The following is a 23,630-nucleotide window of genomic DNA, read 5'->3' as shown; positions in this document are numbered from 1 at the left end:
CTTTATTTGAAAATTAACAAGAGATGTCAAAGATATCTGAAATAAGTATGAGCTATAATATTAAGCAACAGACCAGCCTGACATTTTTGTTTTTATAATAATCTCATATAAAAAGTTACTTTCTTCTATGCAGCAAATACAATTCCTTATAGTAAATTAGGCACTTAGGGAAACAGTTAATTCCTCCGACCATTAGGCTCATTCTCAGCTTTGCCTGGAGAAGGGTATGAAAGAAACAATGGAAAATTATCCATCAAATTTATTCTCTTTGACTATACCCTGAGGACTAGACATTAATTAGATTACTAATAAGTTTTATTAGGGCCTTATATGCTAATAACTTCCTACTTTTTTTTTTTACAAAATGGAAGCTTCCTGAGGATAGGTTTTCCTCTGGCTTACCCAAAGGAATGAAACAGCATCGATTAAAGTTAGATATTACACTGCATTACAGTAAATGGTGAAAGAGAATTAAGAAAAAGCCTTTTAGAAACAGCTTACCTAAATATGAGTTTTTCTGTTTTGCATTTTATTTTTTAAAAGTTTTTGTAATTAGAGTAGGGAAATAACATTAAATTATTTTAGAAAGGAAATACATGTTCCTTTATTAATTTGCAGTTGTGCTGTATGTTTCTATGACTCATGTTATTCACGTCAGTGACATTCACAGGAAGGAAATTTCCCTAAACAGATACTAGAGAAGCATTTTTCTCTTGAGCACTACCATTTGACCACTTTGGAAAGTATGAGGATATTTGCCAAGTACATGCACTTGGGTATTTTAAGGATTTATTTCGTAGAAAAACTGAGTAAGTTTCAGAAATGCAATATCTTAAGTCAAATTCTGACTGGGACACTGACACTCTTGATGCCTACAAATGACCATGATATCATTTCAAATCTAAGAATAACAAAGACAAGTCATGGAATAAATAAAGCATGCTGCAACTCACATTTCACACATGAACACAATTGTATTCCCACCAAAGAGGCTCTTTTCCCTTTTATATTTCCATGTTGTCTGGGTTACAATTCACTGTCCTTAAAATATAAGTTCAGGCAGACATTCCTGTGTGTTTTGAAATGGATAGGGGCATGATAAACTGCAAATTTCTAGGCATCATACTCAGAAATGCTGATTCAGTTGTTCTTTGATAGGATTCAGGGTCTAAATTTTTCTTACGCATCCTAGGTGATTCTGAGGCAAGGAGGTCCAGGGACCACCTCATGAGAAACATAGTTTTATTTGTCAAATCCAGAATGAGTTAGAGCAGGGCTGATCCTGTTTAAACATGAAAAGTTAAAAATCCAGGTTCCAGTTAACATCTCACAGAAACCATTAGGCCAGTACCAATGGACTATGCTTTGAAACTCTCATGTGAACAAAAGGCACTGCATGCTAATTTTTTTTCAATTATAAATAAAAATCAGCTGGGTGTTGAATAATTTATGGCCTCCTACAAAGCTGAATTTGAAAACATCAAGCTGGCAGCCTGTGCCATTCCAACCCACACATGGACAGCTGCCATGCACGCATATCCGTTACTTTTTTGGAGATTATCTCCACATGCTGTATTATCTGGCTTTCCACATTAGCAAGTAACATGAAACGCAATCAATATCACAGAGGCCACAACACAATTAAAGACAAAGATGAGGCATCCATAGCTTGCTGGTACGGAAACCTGAAGGGAATAAGGTATTTTCCTCTACTTATGGAAGCCTATTTGGGCTAGAAATAAAGATAAATCTGATAGTTATTGACTTAGTAGAGGTCCCTTCAGAAATACTCAACTTTCCAATTAAGATTGTAATTTATAATGAAACTTAAGAAATCAAAATCATAAAAATGGTTATATTTTACAAGTCAACTGGATGAGAATGTTGAAAGTGTAAGATTCATTTGAGAGGAATTTAATTACCTTACAAGGAGACAGTATATGAGCATTTCTTAAACTGGGACTTTACATATCAGGTTTTAAATTTTCAATGTATTTCCATTGAGCAAAATGAAAAATATTCAATTGTAAGAATTTTTATCCTGAATTTCATATGCCTCCTTTCCCCAAATGATCCAAATATTTTTTGGTCCTTGTAGTTCTGGCTCACCAATAGAACAGACACTAAATTTATGCAGTAATAGACCAAAACCAAAACAAAAAAAAATCTTCAAAGATGTTATCTGATAGCCCAAATCTGAGTAATTTTTTTCTAATGATAAGTCCTTTTCATTGATGAATTTTTTCACCCATTAATTCTTATTCCCTTCAGGTTTTGCTAACGTGGATTGTAGCATTTCACACTTTACTGCTTAAAAGAAACCCTACACGCACCTCCTGTGTGTTCTGGTTCCCAGGTGCCTTCACCAGGTGGGGGCTGCTGTAATGAGAAAACTCTGCTCTCTGGTGGCCTCAAGGTAGATACTAGTCTGTGGAATTTGTGAATTCTGTCTCTGACAAGAATAGCATTACCCCTCTCATGTTCTGCACCCTCTCTGGCATCAGATCGACCAAGATCCTTTTTTTGGACTACATTTGCAATCTCAGCTACCAGGTCTGACTCTGATTCTGCCTTTTCTGTAGGATTATATTTGTGCACATGAACAACATCTTCCCTTTCTCCTAGCAGCTTGGAAAGTAGTGAATAGAAATCACCTGTGGAAAAAAGAGAAGAGATAAGGGCGTGGAGGGTAGATAAGATTGCAAAATTTACAAAATTTGGTGCTTTAAAAAATATCTACTCATTTCTCATAATAAATAAGAGAGAAGTTTGCACTCAGACTTTTAAGCATAGGAGGAAAAAAAAGAAAAATTCCTAGACCGATGAAATACTTTATTTCATATATCATCTATTTCTTTATGTATAACATCTATTGACATATTAGTAGAAAAAATAATGCTTATGTAATTGCATGGCACATTTCAATAAATGGTTTTCAAAGTATAGTTTGATACGGAAATTAAGAGCTCATCAGATTTCTAAAATAAAATATCATCAATAGCTACATTAGATAACAGCTATCTGCACAAGAAACTCTTTGCAGTTGTCCTTTAAAACCTATTGAAGTGCAAGCCACAAGAAATGAAATATACATTTCTTGAGCAGGAAATATACATTTCCTGTAAAACACAAGTAAATACGTATCCATTTGACAACTGGGAAACCTAAATTTTATTATTATTTTGTTAGCAGTGCTACTGTAAGCTCTAGTTGTTCCTCTTAAACAAAAAATGAGCAAGTGAGAAAAATAATTTTTTGAGCAAAGGATACTTTTAAATCAGCTTCAAACAAAGGAAAAGATTTTAATAAACTGATATCATTAGGGTGATTCATCACTAAAATGCATTCTATGCCTTCCTGTATTAAGGAGTAAACTTGGGTATGAGACTCCAATTCTATGAAAGCAAATTATTTGTAAAATATTATCACATATACAAAATATGACTACAGAAAGTTCATGAAGTATTTTAACCCTCATCATTTCCACGATGACTTCAAATCCATTTATATCAACTGTGTGAATGGTAAACATATTCTCAATGAAAACACAAATCTGCTCTCCTACACCAAACCCAAGGGCAACCACCAGTTCTTCCTTTTCCTCATCCTATACTAGGTGCTGCTAATGATGAAATTACTTACGACTATGGAGTCCTGTTGCTTACGTTTTAATTACATTTACAGCACAATTAGAAAACATTTATAAAATCTCTTTTCATGACCATTAGGAAATGAAAATGATAACTGGTTTAGCCATGATGTATTTCACTGAAGAATATATTATTAAGAAAGTGGTGCAAGGGGAGATGAAGTCTTTCCAAAATGATGCTAAGAGATTCTGTCATGTTTACAAATAGTCTTGGTTTAATGTTTCAAAGTAGGTTTTCAATTCTTGCCAGTGAAATCAGCTTATCCCAGGTGAAATCTTCAATCAGAAAATAATTACCAAGTAATAGGGCCAATCTCAGTAAAATAAACAAAGCAAATTATAAGTCAACCAAATCTGTTAGGGCACAGTGGCATTCTGCCTCACAGAAGAAAAATTAATACAGTTCATTACTGCTAAATTCTCGTGTACCACACATTAAATATAAATAGTTTCATATGCTTGTACAATGAAACGTCTTATTTAGGAAATAAAATACAAGAGTATTTCAGGGAGAGATAAACCATTATTTAAAAACTTGAGGCTGGGAGTGGAGGCTTACATTTGTAATCCCAGCACTTTGGGAGGCCCAGGCAGGAGGATCGCTTGAGCCCAGGAGCTCGAGACCAGCCTGGGCAACAGAGTGAGACCCTATCTCTCTAAGAAATAAAAAAATTAGCTGGGTGTGGTGGCATTCAATTATAGTCCTCACCACTTGGGAGGCTAAAGTGGGAGGACTGCTTGAGCTCAGGAGTTCAAGGCTGCAGTGAGCTATGATCACGCCACGGTACTCCAGCCTGAGTGACAGAGACAGACCTCATCTCAAAAAAAATTAAAATTAAATAAAAACTTGAATCCATATGTTTAAGCTATTATTGTTATTGAGACAGGGTCTCTCTCTTTCGCTCAGGCTGGAGTACAGTGGCACAATCTTGGCTCACTGCAACCTCTGTGTTTAGGGTAATCTTGATGGAGGAAGACAGGTTCAGAACTATGCATAGTCATTCAGGTTTGTAAGAGGAAATCTAAAAGCTGTGATAAAATACCAAAGGTAGAGCACTCCAGTTCATGTGAATTTATCATTTAAAATTGTTATTGGGTTAGGAAAGCAAAAATTGTTAAAATAATGCAACAGGCTTGGCTGCACACAGTTGCACAGGCCTTGCCAGAATAAAGTTTCAGAGCAGAATCTGTACAAACATCTTGTTACATGAGAGAGAGACCACTAGATGGCTATCTCTTACATTCCTATGTGCAAACCAGAAAGAGTTTTTTCCTCTTCTAGTGTACTAGATATAATATGGAATCCTGAAATGTTAACCAATTTTCTTAGTCACATTAAGATGTTTATTTAGAAAATACATCTAATGAATATAACAGATGGAGTAGAACATAAATAAAGCAAGTTGGTGGTCCTGACCCCTGTGTCATCTCTCAATGTTTCCTTTTTCTTTTCAGTTTATGTTCCACTCATATTGGCTTTTCATTTCCTTGAATATCAACTCTAAGAAGATATTGTTTCTTCTGCCTGGACCACTCCCTCCCCACTAATAAACTAGCTCCTCAACTTTCAGATCTTAGGTGTCACATCAAAAAAGCCTTTCTTGACAATTCAACTCAGGGGTCTCTGCTGGGTGCACCTATAGCACTCTGGTCTTTCCCTGTATGGCAACTCCTCAATTCAAATACACATCAAACCCTATTTCTGTGCCCCTAAGAAATAATTCTACTTTGTGCCTTTAAGTAAATTCTACTTAACTTAATAAAGATAGTGACAATAACCTTTAGAAATTACTTTGTAGATTTAAAGAAGACAGCTAATATTAAAATACCCAGTCCAGTACATATCATAAAGTAGGTGTCACTAAATTATAGCTATTATAATTACTGACTGAAAAAACAAACTAATTGCAACATGCATCTGCTTCAACCTGTGGTTTATATAATATTTTAAAAATCAGCTCCTTTTTCCAGTCAAACATTTGGATTTTTGTAATAGAAAACAAAAAGCCCTTTTAGGACTGGGCACGGTGGCTCATGCCTGTAATCCCAGCACTGGGAAGCCAAGGCGGGCGGATTACTTGAGGTCAGGAGTTTGAGAACAGCCTGGCCTACGTGGTGAAACCCCATCTCTACTAAAAATACAAAAATTAGCCAGGTGTGGTGGTGGGCACCTGTAATCCCAGCTACTTAGGAGGCGGAGGCACGAGAATTGCTTGAACCCCAGAGGCAGAGTTTGCAGTGAGCTGAGATCACGCCACTGCACTCCAGCCCGGGAGACAGAGTGAGACTCAGTCTCAAAAAATAAATAAGTAAAAAAAATAAAATTAAAAAAAAAGCCCTTTTAGGTTCCTAGCCCTCTATTTTCTTAATAAGTCACTGTGGCTACTACAGCTAATTGGTTACTGGCTTTGCCAAAGGAGGCTGTATCTGTACCTTCTCCATCTCTTTTAGCGTATCTTTGGAAAAAGAACTCTCTCTACTCCACTGTTCTGAATGCCATTCCTCCAGAATTCCCTAAAGCCTCTCCTGTCTTCTCTCTTTTCTTTTTTATTAATAAATACAACTTCTTTACCTCATATCTGACTCACAGGCTATACATACACTCACTTAGGGCTTGAGTTGTTGTGGAGGTGGGGAGAGACTCTCCTCTAACATAACATATCCTTCAGGCTTTTCCATCTTCTCTCTTCCTTTACAAGCTCCAACACTGTCCAAAAGAATTTTCTGTAATAATGGATGTAATCTATGTCTGCACTGTCCAACCTAATAGCTGCTAGACAGACACATGGGGCTGAGTACTTTGTAAATGGCTAGTGCACCTGAGAAACTTAATTTTTAATTTTTTACTTTGAATTAATTTATATTCAAAACATAAATATTTTCACCTAGTGTTTACCATATTGGATGGTGCAGGGCTACTTGCTGATTCATTCTTCCTTACATCCTTTTCCCTCCCTAAATTGGATGCATTTCTTTCCACTTCCTATTTCACCGTTGTATGACTTCTCCAAGAGGTAAGGGATCCTAATTGCCAATGCTAATAGACTCTTTATTTTGATCTACTGGGAGGCTGTAGCCCTGTTGAAAGTTCCCTTCAGAACCTCTCTCCTTATAATGTTGTTCTTTACAGGTCTTCTCCACCTATCATCTGTGCTTCCTCTTTTTACCGTCCATCATGTAAAAAACGCTGGTGTTTTGGGAAGTCTGTCCCTGAAACATTTTTCCCCTGGCTAAAGCCTCTTCCTACTAAGTGATCTCAGTCACTTACAAAACTTAAGCTACCACCTCCAGGCACATGACTACCAAGCCTGGAGCTCTCCTAACACCAAACTGGTGTTACAAAACTGTCTTCTGGAAAATCCCACTTGGATGTCTGTCTGTCTCATTTGAACTTAAAATGTCTAAAATGGAGCTCTTAATCTTCTCGCCATATTTTAACCTTTTAATAGTGTCTCTCTTAGTGATGACACTTTTTTGAGTAAATCAACTCAGAAAACTGTGTTCTTCTCTCTCTAACCAGTGAATCACAAGGTCCAACCTAGGCTGATTTGCAACATCAACTTTTCCCTCCTTACCACCAGTACTCATTTGGGAATCTTATCTTTTGATTGTCATAGTGAAAGACTCTTCTCCTTCCTCAGAAAGGACCCCCATCTCTGCTCTGGATGACAAAATCTGTCTAGGATGGTATTAAAAGTGGCTCTACCTCTACGGAACTGATGTGTGATTGATGGCACCCTACCCACCTTGGACACTCCTGGGTTATATCCCCATAGCTACCTTTTCCACAGCTCTGTTCAGCTATATATTTCTGAGTGGTATTTTCTTTTCTTTTTTTTTTTTTCCACTGGACTAACTTTGATTTTGATTTGTGGCATTTTTTATTATACTTTAAGTTCTGGGATACATGTGCAGAATGTGCAGGTTTGTTACATAGGTATCCACGTGCCATGGTTGTTTGCTGCACCCATCAACCCATCATCTACATTAGGTATTCCTCCTAATGCTATCCCTCCCCTAGCCCCCTACCCCCCGACAGGCACTGGTGTGTGATGTTCCCCTCCCTGTTCCCAAGTGTTCTCATTGTTCACCTCCCACTTATGAGTGAGAACATGCAGTGTTTGGTTTTCTGTTCCTGTGTTAGTTTGCTGAGAATGATATTTCCAGCTTCATCCATATCCCTGCAAAGGACATGAACTCATCCTTTTTTATGGCTGCATAGTAGTCCATGGTGTATATGTGCCACATTTTCTTTATCCAGTGCAGCATTGATGGGCATTTGGGTTGGTTCCAAGTCTTCGCTATTGGGAATAGTGCTGCAATAAACGCATGTGTGCATGTGTCTTTACAGTAGAATGATTTAAAATCCTTGGGTATATTCTGGGTGGTATTTTCTATTTCTATTCTGGGACTCCCTGCTAAGGTGACCATATAATTTGTTTCTCAAACTAGAATACTTTTTAAAAGGAAAAGGGTGTTAATAATATTTATACTAGGCATAAACTGGGACAGTCCTAGAAAAATGGAGACGTTTGCTGCTTACCAATTGTTGACAGAGTTAACATATTCAGAACAATATAAACTATAGAAAATAATAATAGCAGCTAAAATTTCTTGAGAGCTTAGCATGATCCATTCACTTTGCTGAATGCTTTATACGGTTTAATACGTTTAATCTCTATTAAATTGTTATTATTGTCCTTATTTTATATGAGGAAACAAAAGGTACAGTACTAACCTGCACAGCTGGTAGGAAATTGAACTGGGATTTGAAGGAGACGGTCAGAATGACAGTTGCCCTCCAAACTGCTCACTAGACTGGATTCAGGTTTCCCTGTCTTTTCTGTACTGGCCATTACACTTTTTCCTATACATTCTTCTCAAACTTATCAATCTTACTATAAAAAACTTAATTGTTTTTCTTTTTAAATTAACCATCTTCTGAGCTCAAGTGCTAGGTTTATTCTTTAACTGGGTTTCTCTTTGTCATATCCTGGTCTATCTTGTCCATATCGTAACACAAGAAACGTGCAAACTGGTCAATACATACATACCACAGCGATTTGCACAAAACTAGCTTAAAAAATGACTAGTTTTTGGCTGGGCACTGTGGCTCATGCCTGTAATCCCAGCACTTTGGGAAGCCAAGACAGGCCTATCACTTGAGGTCAGGAGTTCGAGACCAGCCTGGCCAACAAGGTGAAACCCCATCTCTACCAAAAATACAAAAATTAGCTGGGGGTGGTGGCGGGCACCTGTAATCCCAGCTACTCAGGAGGCTGAGACAGGAGAATTGCTTGAATCTGGGAGGTGGAGGTTGCAGTGAGCTGTGAGCTGAGATAGTGCCACTGCACTCCAGCCTGGGCGACAGTGCAAGACTCCATCTCAAAAAAAAAAAAAAAAAGGCCTAGTTTTCTTTGATTTGAAAAAATGTACCTTACATGTATGACCAAATTCTTTAAGATGTTCTAAAAATACTTTCTGTATATTTAAATTATCTCTGGGAAGGGAGAAATTACAAGATAGAACTATAGTTTTATATAAAAAAGTCCCTCTCATTTCTTATTTCTTGTCATAGTTCCAGAGATTAGTACTTTCCCTATCCTAGCAGATACTCAATAAGCAATTCTGGGATGAATAATAATTTGTTAAAAATGTCAGCCCTTGCATCTGCATTAGCAGAGATAAAAATATTTCCTTGATGATTTTAGGCTGCAGTAATTTCCCATTTTTAAATTTTATTCCCTAACTTTTGATTCTTATAAAATACCCAAATGCTCTAGATCTTTTAAGGAATTCAATTGTGTGAGTTTGGTATATGGAAAACACAACTATAGTAGCAGCTAATGTGTGGAGAAAAGGAATGCAGCATAGTACATGGGAATCTAATAACACCACCAATTAAAGTTCCTAAGTTGTGTGCTTGCATTAACTGCTTTGTGGATCAATGGACATTTTTCTATTATCAGGGACCACTCACTATTCCCTGCTCCCAGCATGGAAATTTCTCTGATGTACTTTCAGGAATATGGTGAGAAAAACTAAAATAGATGAAATATACATTGAAAAATGGTCCTATGAAGGTTTTTTAAAAAATGCTTTAAGATTACTGGATAGAAAAAAAAAAGTATCTAATTTTTTAGAAATTGTAAAATCTTAATGAGGCAGGTGCTATTATTTTTTAAAAATGATCAAATACCTCTCAGAACTTTCCAGAATATAAATTCCCATTTCCCACACACATTACTAGTTCTTCATTACCTAAAAAAACCCAGCTCTTGTTACTGCTTATTGTTCTGCAATTTCTATAATATAAGGAGAGTAAATAGGATGTTCAGCAGCAGTTTAGCCACTGACAAAATATGTCAAGTAACCAAGTTAACATGATTAGAGCCATGGAACATAACTGATTAATGAGAGGATATGAGGAATGGAAAAATAAAAGCATCTCTTTTTAGAATTTAATAATTTGTTTTATGACTTAGTCTTAACTGATTTTCCCTTCGGGTTAAAGTCAATTTGGTTTATTGATTGTTTACTTATTACTGTCCCACAATATTTATTCTCTAGCCTTAGAGAAATAAAACACATGACCATGGTGACCAGCTCAAGGATCACAAATGAAGTGAACTTTATTATTTCTTCCCCTTATAGGGCTCATTTGATTGAAAAGCAATCAGAAATCAACTTTTCTTCCTTTTTAAGAAAACGAGACAAATATAAAAAAGGAGAAGATAGAAGATGATGGTTTTCATAACTACCATGCACACAGATCTATATTGGAAAGCCTAACTGTGTGATAAATGATCATTCACATCTGCCTATTCCGTTATTAGGAAACCAATTCAAAACAGCATTCAGTCAGCTTCCCAGAGCCTTGGGGGGTATTTAGAATTGTGTTTGATAGATGAGTTCAATAAATAAAGACTTGTGAAGTGCTCATAAATCATAAGAAACCAATAAATTTTTAGTGAATAGGCATACAAACAAAAACTGTATCTTCTTTAAAACAGCAAAGTGGCATAGAGAGTGCTTGGAATTAGTTAAGAAGATGTTACTAAAATTATTTGTGTTTTATTAGAGGATCAAAGGAATGCCCTATTTTGAACAAATCAATGAAATATAAATTTTAGCTACCATGCCCAGCCTTTATTTAACTCTTCCCATAAACTGTTTACAACTGTAACTTTAGCAGGCTTTGACAGTAGACTATTGTGTTTTTAACTGGCAACCTTGTTCCCTTGATTCTGCTTATTTGATAAAACATGCCAATGGTAATTCATTTTTGTTAGCATAAAACCACTGTGAAATTACTGTTTCACAGAAGGTGTCCGAAGACCTTTAACTATCTGGGGTCATGGGGTATTTTCCCTCAATAAATTATATTTTTGTCATATTCTCTCTGCCTTGGGAATACAGTAGCTTATGCTGACCTTTGAGTAGAAAGATTGATTATATGAGGGCACAAAGACTACAATGAGGAGATTTTGGAGCAAACTGAATAAAACATGTTAAAGGCTGTTTCTGCAGCCAAATAAATGTTGTCTAGAGCATAATACATAATAACAAGGACATACTGTTATTATAGATTTTGATTTTCAATTCTGCCTGGAATTTAAGACACTGAATCTTCCCAATACAACAGACGTAAGTTTCAACACTACATCTAGACTTTGAATATTAAAGAGGTGAGACACTCAAATTCAGAACTCTTAAATGTAATTGTGTAGACTTTTGCTTCCATCTAGTAAGCTTCTTAGTTTCAAGCCCATATTCTTTGCTTAAACAATGGTTATAGAAAGTTCAGGATGTTTATAGCTTTGGTATAGTGAACGCATATAAGAAATTATAATGCATAAGAAATAAAGAGAACTTACAAAATGTGTTAGTTTTCTAAAAGTGCCAACCTTAATATATGTGAGGTGTGTGTGTGTGTGTGTGTGTGTGTGTGTGTGTGTCTGCTTTGGAAGACATCAGTGTGAACTTCCTCATTCTATATAGTCTCCTAGGATTCATTTCCTCCATGCAGAATCACTGCCTAATTGAGTCTATTGTATAGTTTATTGTACTTATTACATATATAGGTAATTCTTCACTCACAATGTCTTTGAAGGACGGTGACATTTTAGTTTGTTTTAAATATCCATTTGTGTTTTTCTCCCTGTAGGCAGACATAATCAACTCATTCGCAGATAAACTCCCTTATATGCAAATGGGTTATTTTCAAATTGATATAGGCAGGAATATGCACGTATTATGCAGCCATTAAAAATCACTCTTGCCAATAATTTTTACCACTGGAGAAAATATTCAAGGTATATTTTTTAAAAAGGGCTATGAAATTGTGTATACATTATAATTAAAATAATGTGCTTTACATATGCATATATTGAATATGTAAATATATGCATAATATATATTTCACATACATATATGTACTCATGTTTCTGGGGACTACGGATGATTTCTATTTGTATATTTATACTTTACATAATTTCCTTATCTTTTATAATGAATATTATTTTAAAAAATCAGTCAAAATAAGCATTATTTTTAAAGAAATCCCTACAGACTCAATTAAAGCCTCATTAAAATGTTTCCTATTGTTGCATGATCCAGGACAACATGATAAGTAAAACTGTCATATAATGATGCTTTTGTGGTGTCTCTGTAATTACATCTTTTGAGACAGAATCTGAGGTACACTTGCTTTACACCAGATTTTGTTCTACAGAGAGCAGATGTAGACAAAGATATGGTGAAAGGTTAGTGTGTTTGTGAGAAAGCACAGACTGGATTTGCACAACTTAGATGTCAAGACATCTAGTTAATTTCTAGTTAATTTCTAATCAAGATTAATATTCTGGCAAAACATCAATAGCTAGCAATTTTTGAGATACAAATTTCAAAGAAAATATATTTCTCCTGGAGAAACAGAGTACTAAATAAATCTGTGTTTTAATGATCACTGGCTTTCTTTAAAGATCACTAACTTTCTTTGAATTTTTTTCCTCCATGTTAGAGATAACTCCCACTTCCTGTTTATTTGTGGCATGGCTACATTTCTTTCTTTTAGTCTATGGAATATGATTATTTCTATCTCTCCCCTCCTTCTTTTTTTTCTATCTTAGTAAAGGTCATTTCTTCTTTCTAACATAACATTTATTACATATCTTGACTTATATCTTTCTACCTGTTTTCCAATGTATTAAGATAGGAAGTAAATATATATATATAATACTATATATAGTACAATTTAAATAGCATTTATTTAATATATATATGTATGTGTGTATGTGCATATATACACACATATACACTATATATAGTATTAACCAGGTGGAACTATCTACATCACTTACAGAACTATCTGTACCCACTAACAGGTATAGAGCTTGTCCATGAGTACATATCCATCGATGGTTCAAGTCTTTTCTTCCTACCCCACATTGTGCTGTTTTCTACAGGGGTTTCACATCTTCTGTAGGACCAACATAGATGGTGTCTGTTAGCTTGTGGCTAGCACAACCACAATAATGTGGGCTTTTGCTTATTGGGGCTAAAAAGTATTAAAATAATTGTACAATGTAAAGAAATACTACACAAATTGTTTTGGCCAGAACACCAAATAAAGTGATAAGTGAAGTTTGAGGGCTTACTTTAAAAATTAACATACATGGCATAATTTATTTGAATAATTAAAGCCCCCTTATTAGCTACTTGGTCAAGTTGACTTTCCAAAGAATGCATACAAATAGACACTTTGTGCAAACAAATATCTCTAAGAAGAATGAAATACTCTTTCAGCAATGAGATTTGCCCTATGTGTTGTAAGGAGACAGACTAATCTCATTAGTGCATCACATGAACTATGTGTACAAATGTGCATTTGGTACATTTCTGTATTTCTCTTTTAATTCTAGGCTGGTGGTCCCCATAGACTGGTAGGATCATACACAGACTATGCTAGCCATTGAAATGGCTTTTGGTTAGGCTACTGTCTTTACCGTCATTAGAGATGACATTTTAATGGGCCCACTAATTTCAACATATGAGTAACAGCCTATTTTCTGCAATATGAAAATTGATAATATCAGAATGCTTTTTTATTCTCAAGTTAAATACCTTTAGTTACAGCATTTTTATTCACAAACAGAAGAAAATAGAAACTGCAGGAAAATAATTTCTTATGTGTCCATAGAATTATTCTCGGGGACCAGTAAGAGTTTGGGTATATTTGTATATTTGGGTATATAGATAATGTTCACCTCTGAATATTATATATATGCTATAAAACACAAAAGGGTAAATGAATGGCAAGGTATGAAAGTATTTTAAAGAATCTGGTTTGTAGGCGTATATAACACCTCCTACATCCTACTATTTGGAAAGAACAGATGAAATATAACCTTTAATACCGCTTCACTAACAAAACCCCTGGGTTTTTAACCTTTTAGAAGTGTCAGTGTTTCCCTTGATCAACTTGACTAACTTCAAAAGGAAACCATAGTCCAACTGCAGTTTCCATAGAAACATACCATTTTATAAGATGCATCTATTAAATGGTGGTATCTCATTCCGTATTGTTTCATATATGTTGTTATTTGTAAATGTATTCTAAGACAAAATTATTTTAAAGACATACATTTCAAATAGCATTTGAAATGTCAAAATAATTCATTGAAAGTCTGAACAAACTTCATAAGAAGTTACAGTAAACACTCTGAATACCACTATATTTAGGCTGCTATTACTGGCTTACTTACAAATATATAAACAGGATTGATAAATTTAGCTATTTTAAATTACTCAGCCATTTAGTGCTTTGAGCTAAGCTGTATTTTTTTGAAGGTCACTTTGTTAGAATGAGATATTATAAAACATCCGCTGTATAATTTAAAAACCTCAGGATCACAGTTTACTTTATGCTTCTTTCAGAATGCATTTTCCCCTTTCTAAAGTCTCAATTGTTTAATTTTGTAAAAACTATTCATACAAGAGTGATATTTTTGAACTAGACCTAATGTAATACATTTTGAAGAATTCCAATAGCAGCTAGCAATAAGAAACAGGAAACTTCTACATGTTGCTAATAGAAAAATCCTTTCTATTCCTATTTGTGCTGTCAGTAGAAGTGGGTTTGCATTAACATGAAACTAACGTTTAAAAACGTGTATCGTAGGCCAAAAACAACTTTTTAGGATAACAAACTCCAAAGCCTAACCCAAAGCACTACCTTCCAAACAACTGGCAAAAAGCCAAGATTCAGGGAAGTAATTTTTTAGTACCAGCACATGCAGTATATGACATACAAGCATCAAACATTACCACTTTCAATAAACAGAACAGGGGAAGAATGATGCTTTTTTTAAACTCTGCAGATGGCAACTTAACACAAAACTATAGATGTATAAGACAATAATCGCTCCTACCTTGATGAAGGCAGAGAAGAATGACTTATAGAGGTAAGATGTGGATTTAATTCTTAATTTCTTTTTTTCTTGAATCTCAAATCTACTTAATGAACATACCATACAAAATATACAATAATTTAAATGGTTAAGGTTATTAGATTTCAAAAGCAGCCTGATGGTTTTTAATGATTATGCTTGCACTTATTTGTACTATACATAAAAATTATAATATTAAATGAAGTAAAACAAAGACAGAAAATGAAACAGCACTAAATTATATGAATGAATTTTACTTTCAAAGCTAAAGTGCAATAATTGACCATTTTCTCATGAATTATGCATTGTATAAAAATAGCAATACATAGTGTTTGAGGCAGATACAGAGAGACATACAATATCTCAGTAACTTTACAATTTGGTTGCCTACTTGGAAATTGATACTTTTATAGGACTAGTTATAGAAATAAGCATACATACCCTGGTCTAACACTTCTTCTTCTTCTCGTTTTGGCTGCTGTAGTAAAGGAATCTTATCTTTATATTCTGTTTCTGTAAAGGATCAAAGAAGCTGAGCATAAATTTGCAGTATGTATTACATACTTAAAATAGTTTATTGGAAATAGTCCATCAACATAAAAATACTATTCAGGGTCTTGTGCTTATTACCGTATTAAGAATTTATAAGACAGAAATGCTCTAATTCATAAGCTCCCCACCCCCCACCCCCCAGCACAACCTACCAATTACAAGACATCTGACTTAATAACTAGGTCAACTACCCTTTCAATAATATATAAATGATACAGAATTTTCAAAATGCATTGACAAAATGACTCATATTTGTTTTCTTAAATTAAATTTAGCACTGTTTTAAGAACATTTAAGAACACTTTAAGGCATATTCTATAAATATAGTAGAATCTTAATAAATGGCCAGAATGCTATGCTAACTTCTCTCATAAAATTTCCACTAGAAAGAAATAAGAAGCTGCTCTAGCGTGTTAAGACTGAACTTGCAAAACTCAATCAAGTCTCAGCATACTTCATGCGATAAAACAAGGAGTAGACTTTGCAATTTTAAGTTAAAAAGTGACAGTCAATATGACCATTTTGCAGAGGAACTATATATATGTTAAATAACAATTCTGAGAATTAGATAAAAAAAGTCAAGACTAGCAATGCTTCACAAATCAATAATTGTTCTTTGCCTGAAGAAGCCCATTAAATGGATAATTTAAAGTATGGCTGGAGATGATAACCATTTTCCCTGGCAAACTGTAGTGATCTTTAGAACATGGTGCATAAATTCATAAACTGTGTAAGTCATTACTGGTTAGGGAAGGAGTTAGATGAGGAAATGAGAAAACATGAATTAAGTGAAAAAAGGTCTACATTTATGGGATTGGTCCCAAAATGAATCTGTTTCATCCCTGGCTGAGATTTTCCTCTTTAACTGTTCTGATGGGTACATGTCAGGGAGGGGAGATAGGATATGAAAGAGAAAAATGAGAAAATAAGAAATATGTGTGTACATGTGACTGGTAGAAGAAGGGAATAAAGATGATTTTAAATATCATCAAACAAGATACATACAAAAATATAAAATACAAAATCATATATTACTTTATATTAAACATCAATTATTACCTTTATGATGTTCATGCATCATAACCATATCAGACTTCACGGGAATTGGAATGTTGGCCTCTGGTGGTATGGTTCTGAACATATCTGGAGCTACATTCTGGGTACAGGTCATGAAAGAAACTGCATGCTTGGCTTCCATGTAATACATAATGTATAAGTTGCACATTTCATCACTAGACGTGCCACTGCAGGCAAAAAAAAGATATAACAAATCAACTATTCACATAAAACACATGCTTAATGCAAGAAAAATGAAGCCCTTAGATCTGCCAGCAATGGATTCAAAGGTAGAAATATTGTGCATTTATTTTATAGCTTTCATTAAAACCCATCACAGTTTTCAACATCAAAAGCACATTGTCAAAGGCATATTTCCACTTAACAATGGAGTGTCAGTTTGCAGGCACACCATGAACACTACTAAATACCACTGATGAAAATGGCATTTTAGTAGATGAGGGAATATGGTACTTTCTTTTCTCTCTTGAATCTTTTTATTCTTTAGTCCCCTCCTATTTGCTAAAACTCATAGACTGGGAAAAGTTATTGTTCTCGTGGAAAATCTTTATTATTTCCTTAACAATGGTAAAAATCAGAAACCTTCAATATAATTATCATATATTATTTATTATAAGTCTTTAAAAATGGCTTTTCCTCTTAACATCAAAAGTCCTGGACCTTGTTTTTGGTTAACTGCCTCCTTCCTTACAGCCAGATGAATCTAGAATCATGTGTCCCCACTAAGACATTCAAAGTGTATCCCTGATGTCTGACTTGGCAACTAGGCTTTTATAGCAGGGTTGAAAAGAATGCCTCAGGAATGACTCAAAATGAAATCAGCACTAATCTTTTTTAAGGGTTGAGATGTGACGGAAGTAGTGCTGTACAGTTGAATGACTCAATGTTAAAAATAGATTTTAAAACAGTGGATATTTCCAAGAAAAAAGTTCCCAATGATAGAAAAAATATCTAATAGTTTACAAAATATGTATTCTGCTTCCTTACTTCACATGGGTTATTATATATTTCATTCTCTTTAGCATTATTAGGAAGGAACCATTTAAGTACACCTTCACAAGACTTTTACATAGCAAAGTTGTTTGGGCAAAGGAACATGTCCATTTTAGTATTAGTATTGACAATTTTTAGCAAGCCTACACTAATAAAAAAAAGCTATGAGGTAGGTTATTTGCTGTACAGAAATACATCAGTGTTGATTTTTCCAGCAATGTCATGCAGCACTCACTTTCTCTCCATAGCAACAGTATGACATCAGCAAGGGAAGGAAAAAAATAAAAATATTTTTCAAACAGGGATTTGATTTCTCTAAGCTTTGAAAATATAGAGCCCTTGAGAGACCACAGGAATAAGCCCCTGCCATGGGAAGCTCTGTTTATGCTTTAGAAATCATTTGGCTTCTTACTCTCTGAATCTGATACCTGTCAGTGTAATTGCCTCTCCCGTGAAATATAAGCAAATAGTGAAGTGCAAAGCCAAACAAACATCTGTTCACTACACATGTCTTCATGGTGTCAAAACACCATTCCTAAGAATTACATTTTAACAGCCTTGGAGTTGGTCAGTATGTGCTATAAAAGGAATGGCTGTTGCAAAAATAATAAACTGGAGCCTCCCGCCATATTATCCTTCTCTTTCCTGCTTTAAAAAAAAGGAGGTATATGTAGATCAACTGAGCAAAAAGGAAAAAGGAATTTTAGATGTGGCTCTAGCTTTAAAAACCTTTAATCATCTTGCAGAGAGGAAAGGCAAAATAATCATTTAAGCATCTCAAATTAATGAAAGGAAAAACATTTTAAATTCATATAATAATTCATGAAACTTGCAACTCATCAATGGATGGGTCCTTCCATATTTTCTCTTTTTGGGAATGCCAATACCCATGTTTTCACTGGAGAAGGTATACCCACCCACAACAGCATATGTAAGAAGCCAGTATCCTGATTTTTTTCCTTACTAAAAAGCTACACACAATGAAGTAACTATCACTGCTGGTCTAAATATTGTTGGTCCCTTGGGCCAGTGTGTTCTCTGTTGCATAAATGGAAATTGTTTATTCTGTGAGCTATTATATGTTTTTATAAAATACTTAGAGAGGGAATTCTAGAACTTTTTTTACTCTTCCTACTAGAGTAGTATTTCCACAATTATTACCACAAAACTTTGGTCCTTGAAATGCTTACAGAAGAGTTGAGAAAAACTTACCATATGGCCTGCCGGGCACGATGGCTCACGCCTGTAATCCCAGCACTTTGGGAGGCTGAGGTGGGTGGATCATGAGGTCAGGAGTTCAAGACCAGCCTGGCCAAGATGGTGAAACCTCGTCTCTACTAAAAATGCAAAAATTAGCTGGGCGCAGTGGCAGCTGCCTGTAATCCCAACTACTCAAGAGGCTGAGGCAGGAGAATTGCTTGAACACAGGGGCAGAGGTTGCAGTGAGCTGAGATCTCACGCCACTGCACTCCAGCCTAGGTGACAGACTGAGACTCCGTCTCAAAAAAAAGAAAAGAAAAGAAAAAAAAAAGCAAACAAACAAAAATCTTACCATATGAACAAATGAAAATGTTGGGCTATACAAGTTAAACAATGTTGTACTGCCTGATCCTTTAATACACAATGTGCTCATGACTGTATGGTGGGGTGGGGGGCGTGGATACAGTAGGTTCTATTCCCTAAATGAATCTGACCGGGCTCCTTTGTGTTGCTGTGTGTTCCAGGGCATAATTTAAGAAAAGCTGTACTGTAAGACTTGCTCTTACGTAGGTAGAAACAAAATGCTAGTATTGTTTAAGAATGACCAATCAAAAGGATTTCTTCAATAGAGTAGTGTGCATGTAGTAAAGCTATATAAAGCTATTCAAATGAATATACATAGATATGCATACAGATGTGTAGCTAGAAATGTTTCATAACATGTCTTATCTGTATAAAGACAGGTAAATATCTATGTATATTCTATCTATATCCTTCTATCTGTCCATCTGTCCATCCATTCAGATAAACACATAGTTCAAGCTTTCAGAAAAATCCATTAGAGATTTAAGAAGCAACTAATACTGCAAAGCTTCAAAATAACTAATATAAAATATCTTGTTAATATATATTTCCTCAAAGATAATTTTGGTGTTACATGTATATTTGGAAGGATTTGTTTTTAACATACATTTGAAAAAAAATTGTACTAAAAGTAAAAATTTCATTTCAAACAAGTGAAAGGTAATTAATCTGAGAACAAGGAATTAAATTGTGCAATGTCGGCTAAATCAGGACAATAATTTACTCTTACTAAATTAAATTCATTATTATCACCAAAAAGCAGTAAGTAACAAAAAACAAAAGAAAATTATAGATCGTAATTATGGAGAAGAATATGAAATAAAAAGGTGGCATAAGTTTAGAATAATTATATACTAATATTGGAGACAAAGGCAGCAATTACTATATTAGAAATAGTGTGTACCAAGGTACAAGGTTACATGTTTGAAAAACACATGTACTTAAGTATAGCAAATAAAGGAAAATCAGTAACTTTCTGAATAATGTAACTCTTTGTCCTCTACAACTTATGATCACACTTTATTATTTTAAATAGCATATTTGAGAAAATAAAAATAAAAACATAAGCTAAGGTCGCAGGTTATTTCCTCAAAAGTGAATTATCTTACCATGTACTGAATTAACTTTTGAGAAAAATTATGCATATATGTGTAAGAGTATACATATATGTATGTGTGTACACACATGCACATATACATACACACACAATACACTAATTCAATTACACATACATTATGTGTTAATTTGATACACATATAAATGTGTTTGCCTTTACACACGTGATTTTCTGAGACATATTAATCAGCTCACCAATACAGTTCATTTGGGGTACCAATTCTATGATTCAAAATTGAATTTTATCAAATAATTTAGGAATCTTTGCTATCACAAGGAAAATTTCATTAAAAGAGCTGAACAAAAAGAGTCATACTTTATTCCTTTCCATCTATAATTAGACTTGTAGTCAAGGTAACTCTGAGCTCCTATGTGACAGAGAAACTATCATATGCTAAAAATGTCAGGAGTCAAATCATCCTTAGTATCAGCATCACAGTTTGCTTATTTTATTTTACAATCATTCACCTTTCATTCAAAAACAAAAAATCTCATTTTAAAACAAATTGCTTTCTGTATTCCTAAGGGAGTATTTTGACACATGTACCCTTAATTTCCACCGAGATCAACATATGCAATTCAACTCTGCTAATCTGAGTGATTTATGAACATGAGAAAGTAGGAAGGGAGATTATGTCCACTGAATGGCCCTTTAAACATTCTCCAATGCCAGTGTGATTCCTTAAAATGATGACTGCTGGCATTACTTACATTCCAAAATTACAGTAGTGCATTTATTTCATCTTCTTGAATAATAAAGTGCTTATGTGATAACTTCCTGTTTTATACTGGCATACTTAATATAAATAGCTTTAGGTCTGACATAATGTGTGAGCCTGAAAATTGGAAGCCCTTGATAAATATGTGTTGAATGAAGGAAGAATTAATAATCCTGCTTAATAAATGTTTACAACTTCATATGACATAGCATGTTTGCCCTAGTATATTATACTACTGAATAATGAGTCAGATCAAATTTTTGTACTCAATTGATCTGTGGGATTTCTGAAAATATTTATTTATATCCATATCTGTTTATCCATCTGTCTAATCTATTTACCTAGGTTCCATGAGAGCTTTTATTAAAATATATTATATTAGAAAGATATGTAATACAGATTTAATAAAGCACCAAGTAATCTGAAATGTATGACTTAAAAACTTCCAAATATCATTGTATTCCATGTCTATACCGCAAACACTCCACTAGCTCAAGAATTCTTCACCTCTACCCCGTTTATATTCAACAAATGTTAGGCTTGAAAATAGGCAAAATCGGTAATAGTAATTTTAGAAAGAAATATAAAAACTTCAAAGAAGTCATTTTACAAAACTGTTAATCATTTCTTAAAAAGTTTCGTGGTGCCTTTAAATGTATACATTAAGAAGTTATTTATCATGTAACTTTATCTTTGCATGTAATATATTTAAAAATGCAGATTAAAGTGCTATGTTGGTATCCATGAACATTCATATTTTAATGAAATGACCCATTCCAAATGAAAGGTATGACCAACAAAACTGACCAAATTGGTAAATATTGTCTACCTAGTCCCAATAATTAATATTAAATTTTAGCATATAAACTTTTAGCCTGATTAGCTGACTTAATGAGCTTAATTGGCTGACTTAATTAAATTCTGTTTTTATTTAAACTTGACTAAACATTTGAAACGAATTTAGAGAAGTATCATCCTGAATATAAAATATGTAATGCAGTCAAGCACAAAATATTGCTTCTTCATAGAACAATTAGTAGTACTATGTTGTCAGTATATATAATACTTTGGTGCAACTTTATTTAGGCTATATTATTCATATTTACTATTTAAAAATAAATATAATATATGGGTAAAACATTTTACCATTAAGTATATTTATTAATATATCTCATATTAAATATACCTACTTTTAAAGTAGTTTTTATTATTAATATTACTTTTGATTGACAAATAATGGTAAGCACTTAATCATATGTTCTCATTTATAAATATGAGCTAAGCCACACGGAGGCAAAGGCATAAGAATGATAAAATGGACTTTGGGGACTCAGGAGGGAAGAGTGGGAGGGGGTTAAGGATAAAAAAAACTACATATTGGGTACAGTGTACATTGCTTGGGTGACAGGTGCACTAAAATCACAGAAATCCCTAAAGAACTTATCCATGTAACAAAAAACCACCTGTTCCCCAAAAACTATTGAAATAAAAAATAATTTTGTAATATAAGGTACAATGTGATTTTTTAATATATGGATACAGTGTGGTACTATTAAATCAAACTAACAAATCCATCACTTTGCTTACCTATCTTTTTTTTAATATTTTTTTATTTTGAGACGGAGACAGGGAAACATTGCTCCTGTTATTTACTCTATAGCCCAGTCTGAAGCGCAATGGCATGATCTTGGCTCACTGCAATCTCTTCCTTCCAGGTTCAAGCGATTCTCCAGCCTCAGCCTCCCAAGTAGCTGGGATTATGGGCATCCGCCATCATGCCCGACTAATTTTTGTATTTTTGTAGAGATGGGGTTTCACCATGTTGGCCAAGCTGGTCTTGAACTCCTGACCTCAGGCAATCTGCCCGCCTTGGCCTCCCAAAGTGCTGAGATTACAGGCATGAGCCATTGTACTCGGCCCTATCATTTTTTTAATCATGAAATATTTGACATTCCTCTCTTAATTATTTTGAAATATATAGTGCATTATATTGACTATAGTCATTCTTCTGTGCAATAGATCTCAAAATCTATTCCTCCTGTCTATCTGAAACTTTATGTCCTCTGATCAACAATTCCTATTACCTCCTTTCCCACCCTTCAGTAACCATCATTCTATTCTCTATTTCTATGAGTTCAACTTTTTTAGACTCCACATATAAGTGAGATCATGTGGTATTTGTATTAATATATCTGTGCCTGGCTTATTTCACTTAATACATCCTTCAGATTCATCCACCTTGTCACAAATGACAGGATTCCCCCCCCTCCTTGTAAAGGCTAAATAGTATTCCATCATGTGTATGTAAAACACATTTCTTTATGCATTCATCCATTTATGGACACTCAGGTGGTTAAATCCATCTCCTGTTTTTACATCGTGGTATTTTAAGATGAATCCCTGTTATGGGAAAATCAGCCTCTACTTTTAAGTGCTGTTCATTAGTTACCCATGATTGTTCTACCCAAGCAAAGTTTTCTCCAGTTCCAAAATTTCTAGCTTAATACAGTT

At 34.3% G+C, this 23,630-nt stretch overlaps 1 protein-coding gene across 58 annotated transcripts in view; it reads right to left on the bottom strand.

Moving 5' to 3' along the window:
- The window catches only part of PAM (peptidylglycine alpha-amidating monooxygenase), a 276,323-nt gene that overhangs the window by 54,336 nt on the left and 198,357 nt on the right, over window positions 1-23,630 (bottom strand). For 38 of the 58 annotated variants that reach the window (NR_033440.1, XM_024446066.2, NM_001319943.1 and 35 more), the window contains 3 exons: window positions 16,711-16,895; window positions 15,541-15,612; window positions 2,334-2,654 (listed from right to left, as the gene is read on the bottom strand). Coding sequence is in view for 56 of the 58 variants with exons in the window: in XM_024446066.2 (XP_024301834.1) it covers window positions 2,334-2,654; window positions 15,541-15,612; window positions 16,711-16,895 (578 nt within the window). In the remaining 2 variants the exon portion in view is untranslated. Of the gene's footprint in view, window positions 1-2,333; window positions 2,655-15,109; window positions 15,613-16,710; window positions 16,896-23,630 lie in introns of those variants that run through there. The other 20 variants (XM_024446078.2, XM_047417245.1, XM_024446084.2 and 17 more) reach the window with 2 other exon arrangements.

This window comes from Homo sapiens, chromosome 5, assembly GCF_000001405.40.
Source record: "Homo sapiens chromosome 5, GRCh38.p14 Primary Assembly".
Lineage (NCBI taxonomy): Eukaryota > Metazoa > Chordata > Mammalia > Primates > Hominidae > Homo > Homo sapiens.
This window is presented reverse-complemented; position numbering and strand designations above follow the sequence as displayed.